We start from the raw sequence: 19,321 nt of genomic DNA on the forward strand, positions 1-19,321 counted from the left end.
GAGGGAAGTCTAGACCTCTCTGCCAACCTGTTTATTTAGTATTTCCCTGTGAAGCATCCTATGAAGAGAGCAGTATCTCCTTCCTACAACAAGTCCTCTTGGGACCAGAAACGAGGTTAACACTATGGCTATGTTCATTTGCCGAAGGCTCCCAATCCTGTTCATCTGCACAGCTCCCTGCAGAACAGGCAGATAAATAAGCAATAAATAGACTTAGCTCACCTAACAGCTGCTGAAATGGATACATGTAAGGCATGGCCAGAAGAAATCAGCTTTATTTTTATATGCATCTGGTCAAATCAATCTCATTCATTTAGAGTCTTTTTTTTTCTTATTCTTTTTTTTTTTTTTTTTTTTTTTGAGACAGAGTCTTGCTCTGTTGCCCAGGCTGAAGTGCAGTGGCATGATCTTGGCTCACTGCAACTTCCACCTTCCAGGTTCCAGCAATTCTCATGTCTCAGCCTCCCAAGCAGCTGGGATTACAGGTGTGTGCTACCATGGCCAGAAGATTTTTTGTATTTTTAGTACAGACAGGGTTTTGCTATGTTGGCCAGCCTGGTCTTGAACTCCTGGCCTCAAGTGATTGGCCCACCTTGGCCTTCTAAAGTGCTGGGATTACAGGTGTGAGCCACTGTGCCCAGTTTATAGTCATATTTTGCACAAAGGGTTGGTGAGACAGCAAAGGAGAAGGTTCCAGGCCCTAAGTTAGATTGGTGCTTGGCGGCTGGACATGGTGGCTCACCTCTGTAATCCCAGCACTTTGGGAGGCTGAGGGGGGTGGATCACTTGAGGTCAGGAGTTGGAGACCAGCCTGGCCAATGTGGTGAAACCCCATCTCTACTAAAAATGCAAAAATTAGCTGGGTGTGGTGGCGCACACCTGTAATCCCAGCTACTTGGGAGGCTGAAGCACGAGAATCGCTTGGACCCAAGAGGTGGAGATTGCAGTGAGCTGAGATTGCTCCACTGCACTCCAGCCTGGATGACAGAGTGAGACTTTGTCTCAAAAAAAAAAAAAAAGAAAAAAAAGATTGGTGCTTGGGGCATGATAGTAAGTACTTGGCTGGTTCCTTCTATCAGTGGTGGAGGAATGGGCATGTCTATAGCTTTGGGACTTCTTTTATGTGGAGTAAAAAGGAACAACCTTTACCTCACACCAAAGGGGCCTCTATGTCCACCCTCTTGGGTATCATATCATGTTTTGTGGAAAGGACACTTGGTGTCAGAAGACTTTGGTGTGAGTCCTGATTCAACACATTTTTACTGCATCCTCTTGGAAAGTTCACCTTATATCTCTGAATCTCACTTTCCTCATCTGTAAAATCATGATAATACTAGTAATAGTTATCCCATAGGGTCTTTGTCATGACAAAATGGGGTCACATATAGAAAGCACCTTATACAGTGCCTGGCACAAAGTAGGATTCAACTAATATTGGTTACTGCCTGCCTGTGAGCATGCATGTGTGAACACAAAAGTGAACAGTTATCAGCCTGTACTCCACCACAAAGAGATGCGTGGACTGTGGATTCAGGAATTCCTTATGAAAATCACAACTCTTTGCTTAAATTAAAATATTTCACTTGGCTGGGTGCAGTGGCCCATGCCTGTATTCCCACCACTTTGGGAGGCTGAGGCGGATAGATCACCTGAGCTCGGGAGTTCAAGACTAGCCTGGGCAACATGGTGAAACCCCACCTCTACCAAAAATACAAAAAATTAGCCAGGGGTGGTGGTGTGCACCTGTTGGTACCAGCTACTTGGGAGGCTAAGGTGGGAGGATCGCTCGAGACTGGGAGGCAGAGGTTGCAGTGAGCTGACATTATGCCACTGCACTCCAGTTTGGATGACAGAGAACCCATCTCAGAAAAAAAAAATTAAAGTAAATTAACATATTTCACTAAAAAAAATGTTCCTGAAATACAGGTTGGTTAACCTCTGGTACACTGAAAAAAAACCAAAAAACAGACCCTGTGTTGAATTTCCAGGCCTAGAGCTTCTCTTATAATCCTCTTTTATTTACATTTTCCTGTTCATTATCATCATCATTTTCAGAGTGTAGATAAGGGACAGACTGAAAAGAAAGAATTCAATTTCAGGTGTTGATTGTTGAAGATGACCCAAAGGCACAGTGGTTAAGAGCCTTAACTGCTCTGCCTTGGAGACCTGCTTTTCCTGTCTGTGATCTCAATGGTGATAGCAGTGGCCTCACTGAGTTACTGGGAGGACTGAATGAGACAATGCATGAAGAGCATCTAGCACAGCACCAGCCCGTAGTGAGTGGTCTATAAACGTGAGCTACACGATTAGCAGTCAAACCAAACCTCTGTGCCAAGTGGCTTAGCCTCTTGTCTACAGGTTGTCTAGGAAAGCAGCTCTTATCTATTTGTCCATTTGGCATTTTGTACTAGATTGCGTTTCAAACAGCTTATGGAAGTGTTTTGTTTATGTTAAAGTGTACATATCAGGGCCAGGCATGGTGGCCCACACCTGTAATCCCAGCACTTCAGGAGGCCGAGGCAGGTGGATCACATGAGGTAAGGAGTTTGAGGCCACCCTTACCAACATGGCATAAACCCGTCTCTACTAAAAATACAAAAATCAGCCAGGCGTGATGGCGCATGCCTGTAATCCCAGCTACTTGGGAGGCTGAGGCAGGATAACCACTTGAACCTGGGAGGTGGAGGTTACAGTGAGCTGAGATCGCACCATTGCACCTCTAGCCTGGGCAACAAGAGCAAAACTCCACCTCAAAAAAAAAAAAAAAAAAAAAAGGGTACATATCAATACCAATGATTTTTGAAACAAATGAATACCATAAATTGGTATCTGAATTTCATATTTGGTTATTATTCAAGTAGTCTTCTCATTACCCCAAATAACTAAGATTTGGTCACCCTGGGCTTGCTTGCAAACAAACTAACAAACAACAATAAACAAAATGAAAACCTGCAGAGTACAGGGACTTGGTTTTGTACAAATGAAATCTTCTCTTGTCTCCTGTGCTGTCTTCCTTTTGGTGAGAAAAATCATGTCCTTGCAATGAAATCAACAACCTGGTTTGTTTTAAAGGAGTGGTCTTAAGTAGCATTTATGATTGTTTGTTACCACCCCTTTAAAGGGTTGTTGTTAAGCTGTGTGCAGCTTGGAATGACACTTTGGCCTAATTCACCCTGGCCATGAAAGCCTTGGAGTTAATCACAGTGTCAGTTTCATTTCACATGACACATGTCCTTTGCCATTTCTACCCGTCCTTTAAACAGAAGTTGTAGCTTCAGTGCTTGTTAAGGGCTGCCAAGGAGAGCAAGTCGTTGCCAGGAAAATTTTTAAGCCATTTCAAGGATGCAGGGATGGACATTCTTGAGGAACCTCCAAATCCTGGCAATTTGCCTACAGATTAAATGCACATGATCTGATTTTGCTTATGCTAACAAGCAAGATGACCGAGGGACTGCAAGCTATAACTGAACAGAAAAGGTTGCAGGCAGCTCACTGGCTCCCAGGAAGAGCTGGCATTCTCAGGCCAAGCTAAGGAGAGCAACGATGATGGCACAAAGAATCCCAATTATATCCTCTAGAGCACAGTCAGAGATGTTTGGCTTTGGGAAGAACACGTTCAGGGGTCATGTAAAAACTACTAAAGTGTTTGTAGGGCTACCATGTAAAAGAGAGTCTGACATGGGACACAGGAAAAAAAGGGAGACAATTAGAGCCAAGGGCTGAATATTTCAGGGAAACCCATTTGGGCTTATTATAAAGAACTTTCTAGGCCGGGGGCGGTGGCTCACACCTGTAATCCTAGCACTTTGGGAGGCTGAGGCGGGTGGATCCCCTGAGGTCAGGAGTTCAAGACCAGCCTGGCCAACATGGTGAAACCCCCATCTCTACAAAAATACAACAATTAGCCATGCATAATGGCAGGTGCCTGTAATCCCAGCTATTCGGGAGGCTGAGGTGGGAGAATTGCTTGAACCTGGGAGGCAGAGGTTGCAGTGAGCCGAGATCTCACCATTGCACTCCAGCTTGGGAGACTGAGCGAGACTCTGTCTCAAAAAAAAAAAAAAAAAAAAAACAATGAAAAAGAATTTTCTAGTCATTGGAGCCCAGAAGCTAATTTTGTAATGTCTATTTCATTTGTCTATTTGTCTGGACCTTTGTGGATAATGTAAGCTCCACACCAATGGAGGTTTCCAAGAAGAGGTTCAATGAGCAGATGGAAGAGAAGGCTCAAACTCTAAGAGGATTATTTGATTTTTTAAAAAAAAACAGCTTTGTTAATATATAATTTATATACAGAGTATAAATATATGTACTCCTTTATATATATTTACCTTTTGAAGTAGATAATTCAGTGGCCTTTCAACCACTGAATATCACAAATACATACAAAATTCGGCAACCATCACCATCATCTAATTTTAGAACACCCGCCTTAGAACATTTTAATCAGTCCAAAATGAGACCGCAGTGAGATCCCATACCCATTAGCACACACTCCTTATCACCCCTCCCCAGCCCTAGGGAACCACTAATCTACTTTCTATCTCTGTGGATTTCCTACATTTTGGACATTTCATATAAATGGAATCATACATCTTTCACTTAGCATAGTGTCTACAATTCTCATCCATGTTGTAGAATATGTCAGTACTTCATTCCTTTTTAGTATCAAATAATAGGGACTCTGATTTTATAGGTCTTTTCCAACGCTGAGATGTCATGCCCTAGGCTTAGGACTTTATTTTCCTTCTTTCTTTCACATCATAAAAGGGCTCCCGGCTGGGCGAGGTGGCTCACGCCTGTAATCCCAACACTTTGGGAGGCCGAGGCTGGTGGATCACCTGAGGTCAGAAGTTCGAGATTAGCCTGACTGACATGGTGAAAACCCATCTCTACTAAAAATACAAAATTTAGCTGGGTGCGGTGGCGCATGCCTGTAATCCCAGCTACTTGAGAGGCTGAGGCAGGAGAATCGCTTGAACCTGGGAGGCAGAGGTTGCGGTGAGCTGAGATCTCGCCATTGCACTCCAGCCTGGGCATCAAGAAGGAAAATCCATCTCAAAAAAAAAAAAAAAAAAAAAAAAAAAGGGCTCCTTCATCTTCTCCACTGTGCAGAGTAATTTAAATTTTTACTATTATTTCAAATAACACTATCTTTAATTGTCCAAAACGAGAAAACTGAAGGACAAGAAAAGCGGCTATAAAACAGCAACCCCTCGGTGTGGTATACTATTTCCATACCATTTCTCCTCTTCAAAGCACTTTCCATTTCTTAGATTGCCAAAGCCACAGAGTGAGGCTGTTTAGATTTTGAGTTTCAAGTCATAACCCTGAGGCCGATAGCAGAGGACCCATGGTCATTCAGATGAAGCAGCCTTTATCTGAGGCAGAATAACACTTTTTACTGCCCTCCTCCGTCTCAGGGCCCTGAGGCATAGATCCGCCCCAGCAGCTCTGGGTAATACTTACATATCGTAGATGCAGTTTGGAGTGAAGGAGTGATTTGCCTTGTGTCCCAAGGAGGCACAGTACTTGGATACGTGGTTATAGGGCTCAGGCACATCAATGACCGTTTCTTCATCAAGGGAGAGGGTGTTCCCATTAAGGGCCCAGTCCCTGCTGTCAACCTGCAGAAAACAAGAAAGCGAGCCTTAGAGAGGACCTTTCTCCCCAAAGGTCAAAGGACATCAGAGATATTAACTCATTTATCTTATTATTATTTTTGTTTTTGAGACAGGGTCTCACTCTGTCACCTAGGCTGGAGCGCAAGTAGCGTGATCTTGGCTCACCACAACCTCTGCCTCCCAGGTTCAAGCGACTCTTGTGCCTCAGCCTCCTGAGCAGCTGGAATTACAGGTGTGCACCACCATGCCTGGCTAGTTTTTGTATATTTTGTAGAGACGGGGTTTCACCATGTTGGCCAGGCTGGTCTCGAACTCCTGACCTCAGATGATCTGCCCACCTTGGCCTCCCAAAGTGTTGGGATTACAGGTGTAAGCCACCACACTCAGCCAAAACTTCAAGGTTTGAGCACTACAAAATGAAATAAAACAAAACAAAACAAGGCATGTCTCCACACACTGAGAGTGCAAATGACATGTGTGGTCAGTGCCAGGCAGCTCGACTTAACTATTTATTCATTTTTCCTTGTTCTATATGAAAAAAAAGGATTTAAAGTCCCTGATGAAAACACACACAAATATAACTGGATAGCTTGTATTAAAAGTAGATAAAGAAGAGGAGGCAAAAGAAAAAAAAACAAAGTAAGAACACAAATGGAACCAGAAATGTAAGGGATGCAAGAATGTACTCTAGGCAAGTCCTCCACCTTTGTTACAGGTGGGAAATCACTGTGACCAGGAGGCAGCCATCGATTACCAGCATGCCTTCTTATCTACAACAGGGGTTACTAACAGTGTAACAATCAGGCTTCTCTTCTCCAAACCACTCCTGATGAACTCACCCCAGGAGCTGGTGATGACAGCAGCCCAGCCTTTTGAAGCCAACAGGATGACATTTTCATACAAAACTGTTGACTCTCAAGGTATACCATTTCCCCCACTATTAAATTGTAATTGTGCTTTTATTCATATGTGATAGTCCCTCAACTGATGTTTACTAAGCGGTACCATGTGCCGGGCACTCTTCTAGGTGCAGGGGATACAGCAGTGATCAAAAGTGGAAAAAAGCCTCATGGACCTTAATATTCAAAACCAGTCATGTGATACTGATATGTGGCACTTGGTACCATCTACCTTAGGCTGCCATTAGTTGTGTATTTTTCTTATCTCCCCAACAGAATCTAAATTTCATTAGGGCAAGAAGGGTGTCACATTCATTTATACAATAGAGCATATTGAGGTTCAGCACAAAGCCAGATTCTGCAGTTTGAAATCCTACTTGAACTCTGCTATTTGCTGTATTTTTGACTTTAAGCAAGTTGTGTAATCTCTCTAGGCTTCCGTTTCCCTATCTGTAAAATGAGTAAGTAAATCATATATCAATATCCCAAAGTCACCCTTTGTATGCTGAATTTCTCTGGATTGCTGACAGAAGTCTGGCCTTTGCATGGGACGTAGTCTGACAGACCATAGTGCAGTTTGAATACGTCGCCCTCTTTTGCCTGTGCAACTGCTTTGAAAGTGTAATAACTTTATTATTATTTCACAGCATTTTCCCTCTTACTGTTCCACCGGAATAAATGCAAAGGTGAACATAAATGTGGAATATTAGCCATAAGCTTAAGGTCCCATACACGTAATATAAGTCAGACAAGGAAGGAGCGCATAAGCTGTGCTAAAAACATTGAACTTTTGCCCTTAGGCAGACACTTAGGGAAATTAACTGTAAAGTGAAGAAACAAAAACAGAAAACATATATGAAGCCTTTGACATATATCAAAGATTGTATCTTAAAGGTAAGAGGTGATTCAACTCTTTAACATTTTGTTTTTAATTTTTTTGACAAAAGAACTCTTCCTGACAAAATGTAGGATATAGTATAGCATGGCTTTTGCACAAGAAGATGTAAGGGGCCTTCCTATAAAGCACCCCACCCAAGGTCATGAGTTAGTTATTTACAGAGTCTGACTGGATCTCAATTTTTAAGACATTGGTACAGTCTAATATACCAATTACTGTCTTATTGATGGCATTACCCCACTCTCTATAAAATAGCTCTGGAACTTTTAAAAAAAATCGTATTAAGGCTTAAAATAAAGAGGATGAAAATGTCCAATCATTTTTACAAAAAAGCCAATCTGCTTCTTTAACTTTCTAGTGAGTACTAAGGTAAAGGGATTTTGTTTGAAGCAAAGCCCTTTAACCAACAAAGTTGATTTTCCACTGTCAGCCCCACTCACCTCTTGGTGTGTAATTCGAACTCCATTATAAAAAGACATAACAGTATTAGGTCCCACAGCTACCTTTGAAAAAAGTCCTTCTCCAGCACTGGAAATAAGAGATTCAGCAACATAAACCCTAAATTGAAAAAAGAGTTGAATAGTGACCTTTTCAGCTTAATATGTCATTCCTTACATCAACTGCCAAAATATCATTAAGGCTACTGATTCCAAAATGTCAATTCATAACCCAACTAAGAAGGGAGGGAGGAAGAAAAAGTTAAACCACAATATTTTGGCATTGGAAATTAAACAAACGGTAGTTATGTCTCTTTTAGGAGTGGTGTTTAAAATTTGCTTTCTAATATAGAAATTATCATTATATTTTCATAAAGATGCTCAGTGCTTGATATGAGGTATTTTTTGGAAGAATTTTATGTTTTTAGTTGATGACAATTTTCACTGCCTTACTGGACAAGTAAACATTTTTTCAAAGTTAATTAAAGCTATATCTAAGTTTGTCAGTGTTAGATGGGAGGGAAAGGAGGCTGTTTTAGTTAAGCCTCAAGATGTATCTTCTATATGCAACAGTGACAAACAATTAATAAGATATATCCAATAAGCATTTCCCAGCAAAAGGGTTCATAACAGGGGTCAGTTAACTATGGCCTGAGGGTCCAGTCTGGCTGCTGCTCATTTTTGTAAGTAAAGTTTTATTGGGACACAGCCATACCCATTTGCTTAGTATTGCCTATGACTGCTTTAGCTCTACAAAGGCAGAATTGAGTAGTTGCAACAGATATTATATGGCTTGCAAAGCCTAAAATATTTACTATGTGGCCCTTTACAGAAAAAGTTTGCCAACCACTGGTTTATAAGAAAACAGCTGGTCGGGCGTGGTAGCTGATGCCTGTAATGCCAGCACTTTGGGAGGCTGAGGCGGGTGGATTACCTGAGGTCAGGAGTTCAAGAGCACCCTGGCCAACATGGTGAAACCCCGTCTCTACTAAAAATACAAAAAATAGCTGGGTGTGGTGGCGGGTGCCTGTAATCCCAGTTACTCGGGAGGCTGAGGCAGGAGAATCACTTGAACCCAGGCGGTGGAGATTGCAGTGAGCTGAAATTGCACCATTGCACTCCAGTCTGGACGACAAGAGCAAGACTCTGTCTTAAAAAAAAAAAAGAAAAAAGCGCTCATAATTACGGAACTGGATTTAACCAGACGCTGGGATGGAATGACCCTACAGGAACTGATCATCTGTAATTTTAGTTACATGGCTCTTATGCTTATTCATGAACTGGAAGACTGATTTATTGCTTTCAACTCTTTATTTCTTCGCTGTGATAGAATTATATACATCCTGCCACTTTGCCACGTGACCTTGTAGTGCCTCCCTCAGGGTGGGTGGAGGATACATCCTGCCCTACTGACTTCTCGTTTGGCCATCTGATCTGCTTTGCTGGTAGAACATGGGCAGAAGTGGCTGCAGGCAAGTCTCAGGTGTGAAGGGCTGGGGCAAATTTCTGCTGGCCTCCTCCAGACTTTTCACTGTCTCCATTAGAAGAATATGCCCTAGGGGGCTGTTGCTCCCTGTTTCTCTTGTAAAGAAAACATGTGAAACAGACTTGAACCCAACTTGAAACCTGGAGTCCAGCCTAGGCCAGCTGAGCTTAGCTGATTCCAGTCAGAAGTGGCTGAACCTCAGCCAACCTATAGAACTATGGTGTAAAACAAAATGTTTGATTCTGTAAACCACTGAAAGTTCTGAGGGCATCATTATGCAGCCTCATCACAACAATAATAACAGAAAAGACTAACACGTATGGCTATGGTCTTGTGTTTCGGAGCTAACAAAGAAGCTAAACCCTTCCCTTTGTAACTGGGCCAGAGCCTCATGTCAAAAAAGAGTCCATTCATCATTGTGACATTGTGGGGTCAGCCCTGTCAGTTGAATGGAGGAAGAGGCCTATTTCTCAGATGGGAACAGAAACTGAATGGGAGGTAAGCCATGCTTACAAAACACGAGGCAAAGAGAAAACCAATTTCAGATAGTACGCTTATTCATAAACAGATCTGTTGCTAAGGAATAAGAAGAATCCCAGAGAGGGTACCAGAAAAAGCCACATCAAGACTCAAGAGCTAGAGTTTAGCCATCCTCATAAATAAGACATGAAGTAGAACAGGATGTGACCCTCTGGGAGTGGGCTTACAAACCAGAAACTTGTCATTTATAAGCTAGAATGTTTTTATGCCTCTTATACTTTCTTTGTTTCACTCTTGTCTTCTGTTTGTGAAAAAAGAAATTGTCTTGTGTTCCAGAACACCTCCGCTGGTCTAAGATGAAATGGAGGCATCCTGTGTGCACAGGCTAGAGCTTTAAAGAGCATGAAATGTTCCCCTAGAGGGCCAGCATGTGACTGCAGCACAGACCCTAAGAACGGGAATGCTCGGCCAGGACACAGCTGGCTGCCTGGCCCAGCTGCTCTTTTTTTTTTTTTTTTTTTTTTTTTCTTTTTAGATGGAGTCTTGCTCTGTTGCTCAGGCTGGAGTGCAGTGGCATGATCTCGGCTCACTGTAACCTCTGCCTCCCAGGTTGAAGCAATTCTTGTGCCTCAGCCTCCCGAGTAGCTGGGATTACAGGTATACGCCATGACACCCAGCTAATTTTTGTATTTTTAGTAGAGATGGGGTTTCACCATGTTGGCCAGGCTGGTCTTGAACTCCTGACCTCAAGTGATCCGCCCGCCTTGGCCTCCCAAAATGCTGGGACTGCAGGCATGAGCCACCATGCCTGGCCTCAACTGCTCTTTCTACCTGGAGGTTTTACTCTAGGACAGACACACAAGCTGTTCTGTGATTTATGGGTGAGGAAACTCTCTTACAGGGTCAGATTCTACATAAGAATAAAAACACTCTTCCTCAGAATATAGAAATATTTATTTGAGGGTTGGCAAAGGAAAAGGACACTTTCATGAGGAGCTTGGTCTGAGCTGGAACCCAGCCTGGGCAGAGAGCCAAAGAGGTGCATAAGTTCCTACCACTAGGCTTATTTAACCTCACATAAACAGTGCAATTAAAACCCCAAGGAGGAAATTACCTTTCTGATTCATAAGGATCTGGAAGAAGAGCATTGGTAGAAATGCAAGATGAAGTCGACTTATCAAAGTGGTACACTGAATCTGAAAAGCAAACAAAAATACCAGTATAGGTGCAGAGTTAGGGAAGAGCATTTATAACACTTCTCTCTATTCATGGGACAACGAAGAGTTAAAAAACCAAAAATCTTAATCAAGTTATACCAACTAGAATGAAGTTCTTCAATTTAAATGGATACATTTTAGATTTACGCTTCAGTTTTATTTTCAGGCCTTCATGAACAGCCATCAGATGCATCTCTTAACATTCCAATTCACTCTTGAATTTTCCTTATTAAAATGACTTAAAGGATGCTTGGGAATCAATAAAATGCTTTGTCATGAAATTCTGAGATCTCTTGGCTCAGATCAAATTGGATGATGGTTTTAAATTTTTCTGGTGGTTTTCTTCATTACAGATACAGTCTACAGAATCCAACAACTGAACACTGGCAGTTGTCTCCTTCACTAAGAATAAAATTCTGCCTCACCAGAATTAAGGAGAACAGCACTGCTTTTGATAAAGCATTAACAAAGTAATCTCCTTTCTATTACGGTAGTTCAGAAGCCAATTAGTAATTTACTCTAGAAATCAAGGCACACAACCACCCTAGAAGGAACACTGGCTCTCTGTGAAGGATTAGCTTTAGAGAATCCTCACAGACAGCACTAAAGATAGATGCTCTGAAGACTGATAGGTAAAGAAACAAGATTTAGAATCAGAGGGCTTACTCCTGCAAAACAAATGATTATATACACTGAGGGAAAACTCATAATCCCATTAAGCAATTCTTCAGTAGTTACTAATGGTTACTAGGTCCTCTTTCTGTTTGTTTGTGAGTGGCTTTTTTTGTACAACCAAAACCCCAATGAATACCTGAAACTAAAAGTCAGAAACCAATCCAAATCAGTCAGTGTCCGCACAGAAACGGACCATTTGAGTGTTTCAAAAAGAATTCAGTTCAGGGAATTGGTCATACAGGGGATGGAATGCTGACAAGCCAGATGGAGCCGTGAAGAGCCCAGACACTGGCAAGAGCAGGAAGCTGCCACTGGAGGCCGGAGGGACAGAGGGCACAGTGCTGCTCCTGGAGCTCTGGAGCTGGGGTAGTTGGAACTAGCCTGGGCCTTCCTCATGGGAGATGGAATCAGGAGGTGATGGGGCCACTGCTGGAGATGCTGGTTGACACAGAGAGGGCTTCTTCCTGCTGCCTTCTCCTGCTTTGTCCCCAGCCAGCCAGTGGCCTCCCTTTGGCCAAACTCAGACAGAAGTCAGACACACAGGAGCCTGAAAAATGCAGGCTGCAAGGGGCAGCAGCCTCTTGCAATAATAGCGGGCAGTGAAAGAATGATGAATGGATTGGATCTGAGAGCAAAGTGGTAACAGACCACCAAGCAATCCACGAAAAGCATTTAAACCACCCTCCCCCACTTTTTTTTTCTTTTGAGACAGTCTTGCTCTGTCACTCAGGCTGGAGAGCAATGGCGTGATCTCAGCTCACTGCAACCTCTGCCTCCCGGGTTCAAGCGATTCTCCTGCCTCAGCCTCCCAAGCAGCTGGGATTACAGGTGCCTGTCACCATGCCTGGCTAATTTTTGTATTTTCAGTAGAGATGGGGTTTCGCCCTGTTGGCCAGGCTGGTCTTGAACTCCTGACCTCTAGTGATCCACCTGGCTCAGCCTCCCAAAGTGCGGGTATTACAGGCGTGAGCTGCTGTGCCCAGCCGTCACTTTTTATAAATAACCAAAATTGTGTGTGGAATGTATGTTCTATTGAGTGGAAATTTTCCTATGAATTCCATCTAGCTCCTTAGACTAAAATTTTTATGACAAATTTACTGAGTGCCAGCTACATGTACAACACTAGGGACTGTGTAGATACAATAAGGATTAACTTCTGTTGCTGCTTTCAGGGAGTGCACACTATCTCTTCCAATGCCTACTGTCTCTTCTTCTGCTGCCTTAGACATGCCCAGGCTGCAGGCACATCCTTTACTTTTACAGATTTTACACATCCTTTACTTTCCCTCCTTTCCTCTATAGTATGCTATGCCCTTTGACTAGAATTCATTTATTCAATGGACAAACATTCATTATAAAAAGTGAGTTAAGCCTTAAAGATGGAGTAGGAATTAGCCAAGGAAAGCAGTTACTATGTGGAGTAGGGCTGATCAGGTGAGAAGCAGTGGCATAGGTGAGAAACTCCACAGGAAGTAAGTAGAGAATTAGAAGTAGTTTGTGGTTACAAAAGCACACAGAGAAATGGAGAAGCTGGTGAGGCGACAGGTCAAGGAGTGTTTTATGTGAGATATTTGCATTAATTTCTCTCCTTCCCCAACCATTGGACGCTACAGTCACAGGACCCTGTACCCCCTAACCCACTGGCCAGTCAGCAGGTCAATAATTATAACTGGAAGGGGCAGAGGAGAGATACAAACATGGCAGAACATTAGACTAAAGATCGGTCTATAGGATCTTCAGAGTGCCAGAGCAGCCATGGTTCCTGGCCCTTTTGAGGCTCAAACTATTCAACATTTCAAAACACCTGAGGTCTGCAGGAATCTTGCCAATAAATCCCCCCTTTCTTTTCTGCGTTAAGTTAATTTGAAGTGAATGTTTATTTGCAACCAGAAGGTTTTTGTTGTTGTTGTTTGTTTTTGTTTGTTTGTTTGTTTGTTTTGAGACAGAGTCTCTGTGTCACCCAGGCTGGAATGCAGTGGTGCTATCTTGGCTCACTGCAACCTCCACTTCCCAGGTTCAAGCGGTTCTTGTGCCTCAGCCTCCTGAGTAGCTGGGACTGTAGGCACACTCTACCACACCCAGCTAAAGCAACCAGAAATTCTAAAAAAATAATAATTCCCTTTAGAATTCTCACTCTCAACAATTTTTTTTTTTTTTTTAAAGACAGGGTCTCACTCCTGTCGCCCAGACTGGAGTGCAGTGCACTCAGCTCACTGCAGCCCTGACTTCCTGAGCTCACGTGATCCTCCCACCTCAGTCTCCCAAGTAGCTGAGATTACAGACACATGCCACTATGCCCAGCTAATTTTTTTTTTTTTTTTTTGTATTTTTTAGGAGAGACAGGATCTTACCATGCTGCCTAGGCTGATCTTGAACTTCTGGGCTCAAGTGATCCACCTGGCTTAGCCTCCCAAAGTGCTAGGATTACAGCTGTGAGCCACCAGCCCTGGCCTACTGTTTCTTATTTATAGCAAGAAGAATGTAATAACAACTTTCATTACAGTGTTTTATGGTAGGTGCTAATATCCACATTTGGTAATGAGGAAACAGGTTCTGAAAAAATAAATAACTTGCCCAAGGATAATATAGTAAATGTTAGAGCTAGGTCTCAAATTAGGTGATTCTTAAGTTTAGGCACCTGCCACTAAAAATGCTGCTACTTCTGAAGTTTTAAAACTGGCATCACCAATTGGGATCCTCCCTTGTTTCGAGCCTCCTCATTTCTAAATATTATAACACTGTCTCCTTTCAGAACATAGATCAAGGGCATAGATATCACAGTTTGTAGTTCAAAGATTACTGCTTCCTTTTTTTAAAAAAATAAACTTTTCATTTTGGAGTAATTTCAAATATACGACATGCATCACTTAATGAAGGGGATACATTTTGAGAAATGTGTCATGAGGTGAGTTGGTCATTATGCAAACATCAGAGAGTGTACTCACACAAACCTAGATGGTATAGCCAACTACACACCTAGGCTATTAATAAATGGTACAGCCTATTGCCCCTAGGCTCCAAACCTGTACAGCTTGTTACTATAGGGAATACCATAGACAACAGTAACCTAATGGGAAGGATTTGTGTATCTAAACATATCTATACACAGAAAAGATGCAGTAAAAATATGATATAATCTTAGCTGGGTGCAGTAGTTTATGTCTGTAATCCCAGCACTATGAGAGTCCGAGGCAGGAAGATTGCTTGAGGCCAGGAGTTTGAGACCAGCCTGAGCAATACAGCAAGACCCTGTTTCTACAAAAAAATTTAAAAATATTTAGCTGGGCATTGTGGTGCATGCCTGTAGTCTTAGCTACTGGGGAGGCTGAGGCAGGAGGATTGCTTGAGCTCAGGAGCTCAAGGCTGCAGTGGGCTATGATAACACCAGTCCACTCCAGTCTGGGCAACAGAGTGAAATCCTGTCCCTTAAAAAATAAAATGAAATAAAAACAAAAATATGGCATAATCTTATGGTACCACAGTTGTTATGGGCCCATGACTGTATACAGAAAAGTCGCAAAGAAAGCACAGAGCATCCTCACTGTTTCTCCTAATGTTAACTTCTTACAGTGCATGGTACATTTGTCAAAATTAAGAAACCAACACAGATACATTACTATGTACAAAACTCTAGACTTTATTTAGATTTCACCAGTTTTTCCACTAATGTCCTTTTTCTCTTCCAGGATCCAATCCAGAATCCCACATTGCATTTAGACTGTCTCCATTTTTAACTTAAAAAAACAAAAAAGACATTTAAAGCAACCCAAATTGGACCTAAATATAAATGCTAAAATTTCCACTTTTGGACAAGCTTCCTTTGGAGATTCTTCTTCAGATCCCAAATAACTAAATACTATTTAAGCCTATTAATGCCCAGATTTATTGTCTTTTCTGTTTTTTTCTCCCTATAACCAAACCTGGCTCAGAAATACATGCATATATTGTTTTCAGGGAATCAGACCAATTCAAATAGCTTTCTTAAGCTGTGCCACTCAAAATGCAAAATCTTGATTTTTCTTTGTATATTTTCCAGATTTTCTACACTTAGTAATTTTATACTCAGAAAAAATGTTTAGTGTGACATGTGTACTTCTAAAAGGAAAATAATACTTTTTTCAAATATGGATTCCATTGGGTTCACTCATACATTGTGCTCCACGCAAGATGTTGGGCTCGAGATGCCAATATGCATTTATATTTTCCAGTCACAGCTCAGGCTCAATCAACTTTACAGTTTAGAGATCTACTTGATTTGGTTCTTTATTATCATAGTACAGTTTTTTGGAGAGATAACCATTTGAAATCAGTTGAATTACTGCTGTCATTTCTTTATTCCCTCCCTATATGAGAATTATATACCTAGGCCCTTTGTCACATGACTTTTCAGTATCTCCCACTAATGTGTATGGTGTAATTTCCCTGTCTCACTGATGTCTGGCTTGGCCATGTGACTTGCTTTGACCAGTGAAAAGTGAGTAAAGTGCCACCATGTCAGTTCCAAGGTGAGGTTTCAAAAGGCATCACAGGTATCTGCTTATGCTCTGACACTTCTGTGATCCACTGTGGGAAAATGTTGCCCCACATTGCCATTGTCCCTTCAGATTAGGCCCCAGAATTAAGACAAAGAGAGCTGACTCAAACCTGACCAGAAGCCTCAAGTCTGGCCTGGCCCCCTAAGCCCAGCCTCAGCCAGCTGGAGTACAGCTGCTCGGCAGAGCTGTGGTTGCTGTTGTAAACCACTGGGGAGGTGCAGTGTCTGTTATGCAATAAAACCTGACTAATAAACACGATTAAAGAGAACTATACAGAGAGGAAAAGAAAAGAAGCTTGTCTCAAATCAGCCCTAACAACCTGCTTTGGAATTGGAGCAACCCATCTGAAGCAGATTCAACTTACTTCCAGGCATCAGTTCAAAGTGAGGCCTCCCTTCTTCAGTGGACATAAGGGTAGCCAGTTTGCCTTCTATCATCTCTCCATCAATAAATTTCCCATAAAGTGCGGTCCTCTCATCAGGGTACACATAGGCTATCTTCTCTCCAGTCATCTCCCCATCTTCATTTACTTCTCCTACAAGGCTTCCTCCATCCTGATGGGAGAAACCAAAAACCAGAAAATATTATATATAGTATGTCTAGGACATGAGTCCCAAGAAATTTCTCTTCTGCAGTCCCATTATTAATATAGCACCAGTAGGGATAATAACAGTTTAGGAACCCAGAGCTTTTCACCTGGGTAAGAAAAACATGATGCATAGCTCCTCATCCAGCTCCATACAAATATACTGCTAGAAAGTCATACGCATTTGGGGCATGTATGCCTGATTTAGAGAGTGGGAAATTCCGTTGCAGTTTGTAATCCGGGACAAGTTACTGATACTCTATGTTGGTTTACTAAGAAATAAATGATGTTTCTTTGATATTTGTAACATCAATTACCAATATTTAAAGGAAATGTAACTAAGTGTTATTTTTGGCCAAAATCAAATATGATGACGATCTTTAGCAAGACACTCCTACCCACTATTCATAAGATCTCCCTTCTCAATATTAAATTTTGGATTTCTAGTGTGTTAGGAAAATATTCAGTTCAAATGTACTTAAGAATTAATTTAGTGTACACAAGTAAAGAGAGTTATCTGCACTTTTTCAGAGGCAAACAAAAGGATGTCTGGACACTGCCTTTCTGAGACTCCTATACCATCACCTTTTTTAGAATTAGAAGGAAAAGTGAAAAAAGATCAACTAAATTTCACTCCCATCTCAATTCTTTCTTTCCACTCTATTTCCTGCTCCCTCTTGCCTCCTTTTAGCAGAGCAGCGCACTTAGCTTCATGCTTAACTCTTCCATTTACTTCATTGCTAGGGGTCATTGAGTACTTTAGGGAAGAGGCTATCATATAATTCTATACCTTGATAAGTGGTAGGGACACAGTAGGTGATTCTTAAACGCTTTTTAAATTGAACAGGGTTACCAAAAAGTAATGAATAATTTAAGCTAGGGTGCCAGAGATGTTTCTTTCTTTCTTTCTTTTTTTTTTCCATCCAGAAGGTCCTCATGGTATAACTTTGAAAATTTAAGACCTTAGGGAGTTTGATTTAACAATAGTAATGCCATGACATCTTTTAAAAGCTTGGTTAATTTCTCCAACTTGAGGATCTAGGAACAGCTAGCTACTCAAAGCCAATGATGTAGGATGACTTTTGAGTGATCCCAAATGCTGCCTTTTTTTTTTTTTTTTTTTTGCCTTCTAGGAAAAGGGATGTAAATTTAAAAATGAATCATGGCACTTACATAGAAAGAAAAATACTTAGAAGCATTTTTAATGGATAGAAAGTGCACTAGGGATATAGTCATTGCTCTTTCTTCTCTTCAAGTTAATTCTTAATAATTGAGCATAAATGGAGATGATACTTCCTGCAAGATCTGCTTTCAGGCTTTTAGTGATGATTATTGAATGGAAGGGTATAAGAGCATTTGTGCTTCTTATAATCCATGACTAACATAAGATAATATTACTATTTATTTAAAACAGAAGTCTGTCTTTCCAGGGTCTCACACCTTTCCCCTTAAATGTTTAAATTTCTGGTTTCAGAGGGAGTGAATTTATTTGTCCAGAATGATAAAGTAGAAATTCTTCTTTCATTTCCAAAAGGAGTTATATATTTTTAATTAAAAACCTTATATGAAAAACTTTTTCGAGGTAAATTTTTGAAAGAAATACACTGTCCTTAGGGTGAGCTTACAAGTGTGGACTGTAGGGAAAATCATCACTTTTTTCTCCCCTTGTTCCTGCTATGGCCCATTACAGAAATTTCCTCCTCTGCTGTATCAGGCGTCAGGGAGTGTGGGGAAAGAAACGGCTGCTTTCTCTCCTCTGCTCACTGGCTCCTCCTCGTGGGGGGAGAAATCATTAATTTGACTGGTGAGCAGCCAGGGTCTGACACCTACTGACACCCATTTCTCTACTGGGTAGGGGTTAAGAGGACAAAGGCTGCTTTTCTGCTCACCAATGCTCCTTCCTAAGGCAGAGTCTTCTTTGAGATTTAATATGATAATCAAGGCTAAAGGTTAAAATGTAGCTATATTTTTGGTTTTCAAAATGCAACCATGTTGAGCGACGCCAATCCATTCACCAATCTTGGCGCATCTTTGATCCCATCTAGGGACTTTCATTGACTATGTCACAAGTAAAATGACAGGTAGTAGGAGAATCTAGTAATCCAACACTTTGCCTGCTTCCTATACTCATCTCTATGTAGAGAGTTCCACTTCCCCTGACTTCAAGATGCACTGTCACATCAGCAGCGCCCCAGCACTGGGCAGCAAGATGCCCACCCTGGCTACTCACGAGGCCAGGTTTCGGTCCTCCTACCCTGGGCAGCACCTCCACCGCTTCTGATCTTTCTGCTTCTCTTCTCCTAAGCAGTACGTGTTACAACTTTTGATCTATCACGGATCCTACCAAGAGGATATTTAAATGCTTTAGCAATTCTTAGAAAATGTTTTACAACATTCTTTTCTTATGCCCTATTCCTAGATTATAACTTATTTTTTAAGAACAATGATGTGTAAGTGGATTTAGCTGGGGTTACTTTTCTTGTT

At 41.6% G+C, this 19,321-nt stretch overlaps 1 protein-coding gene across 3 annotated transcripts in view, besides 1 other annotated feature; it reads right to left on the minus strand.

Annotated features, from left to right (window-relative positions):
* SETD7 (SET domain containing 7, histone lysine methyltransferase) overlaps nucleotides 1–19,321 on the minus strand; it is a 63,246-nt gene that overhangs the window by 19,442 nt on the left and 24,483 nt on the right. For 2 of the 3 annotated variants that reach the window (NM_001306199.2, NM_030648.4), the window contains exons 4-7: nucleotides 16,616–16,805; nucleotides 10,939–11,020; nucleotides 7,862–7,979; nucleotides 5,470–5,627 (exon numbers count right to left, since the gene is read on the minus strand). In NM_001306199.2, coding sequence (NP_001293128.1) covers nucleotides 5,470–5,627; nucleotides 7,862–7,979; nucleotides 10,939–11,020; nucleotides 16,616–16,805 — 548 coding nt within the window. Of the gene's footprint in view, nucleotides 1–5,469; nucleotides 5,628–7,861; nucleotides 7,980–10,938; nucleotides 11,021–16,615; nucleotides 16,820–19,321 lie in introns of all 3 variants that reach the window. The other variant, XM_017008661.1, reaches the window with a different exon arrangement.
* Nucleotides 16,088–16,147: an enhancer, noted in NCBI's record as "active region_21926". NCBI's record gives its function as "activates an Ori minimal core promoter by ATAC-STARR-seq in GM12878 lymphoblastoid cells {active_cell/tissue: GM12878}" and the evidence as "EXISTENCE:reporter gene assay evidence [ECO:0000049][PMID:35858748]".

This window comes from Homo sapiens, chromosome 4, assembly GCF_000001405.40.
Source record: "Homo sapiens chromosome 4, GRCh38.p14 Primary Assembly".
In the NCBI taxonomy this organism is placed as follows: Eukaryota; Metazoa; Chordata; class Mammalia; order Primates; family Hominidae; genus Homo; species Homo sapiens.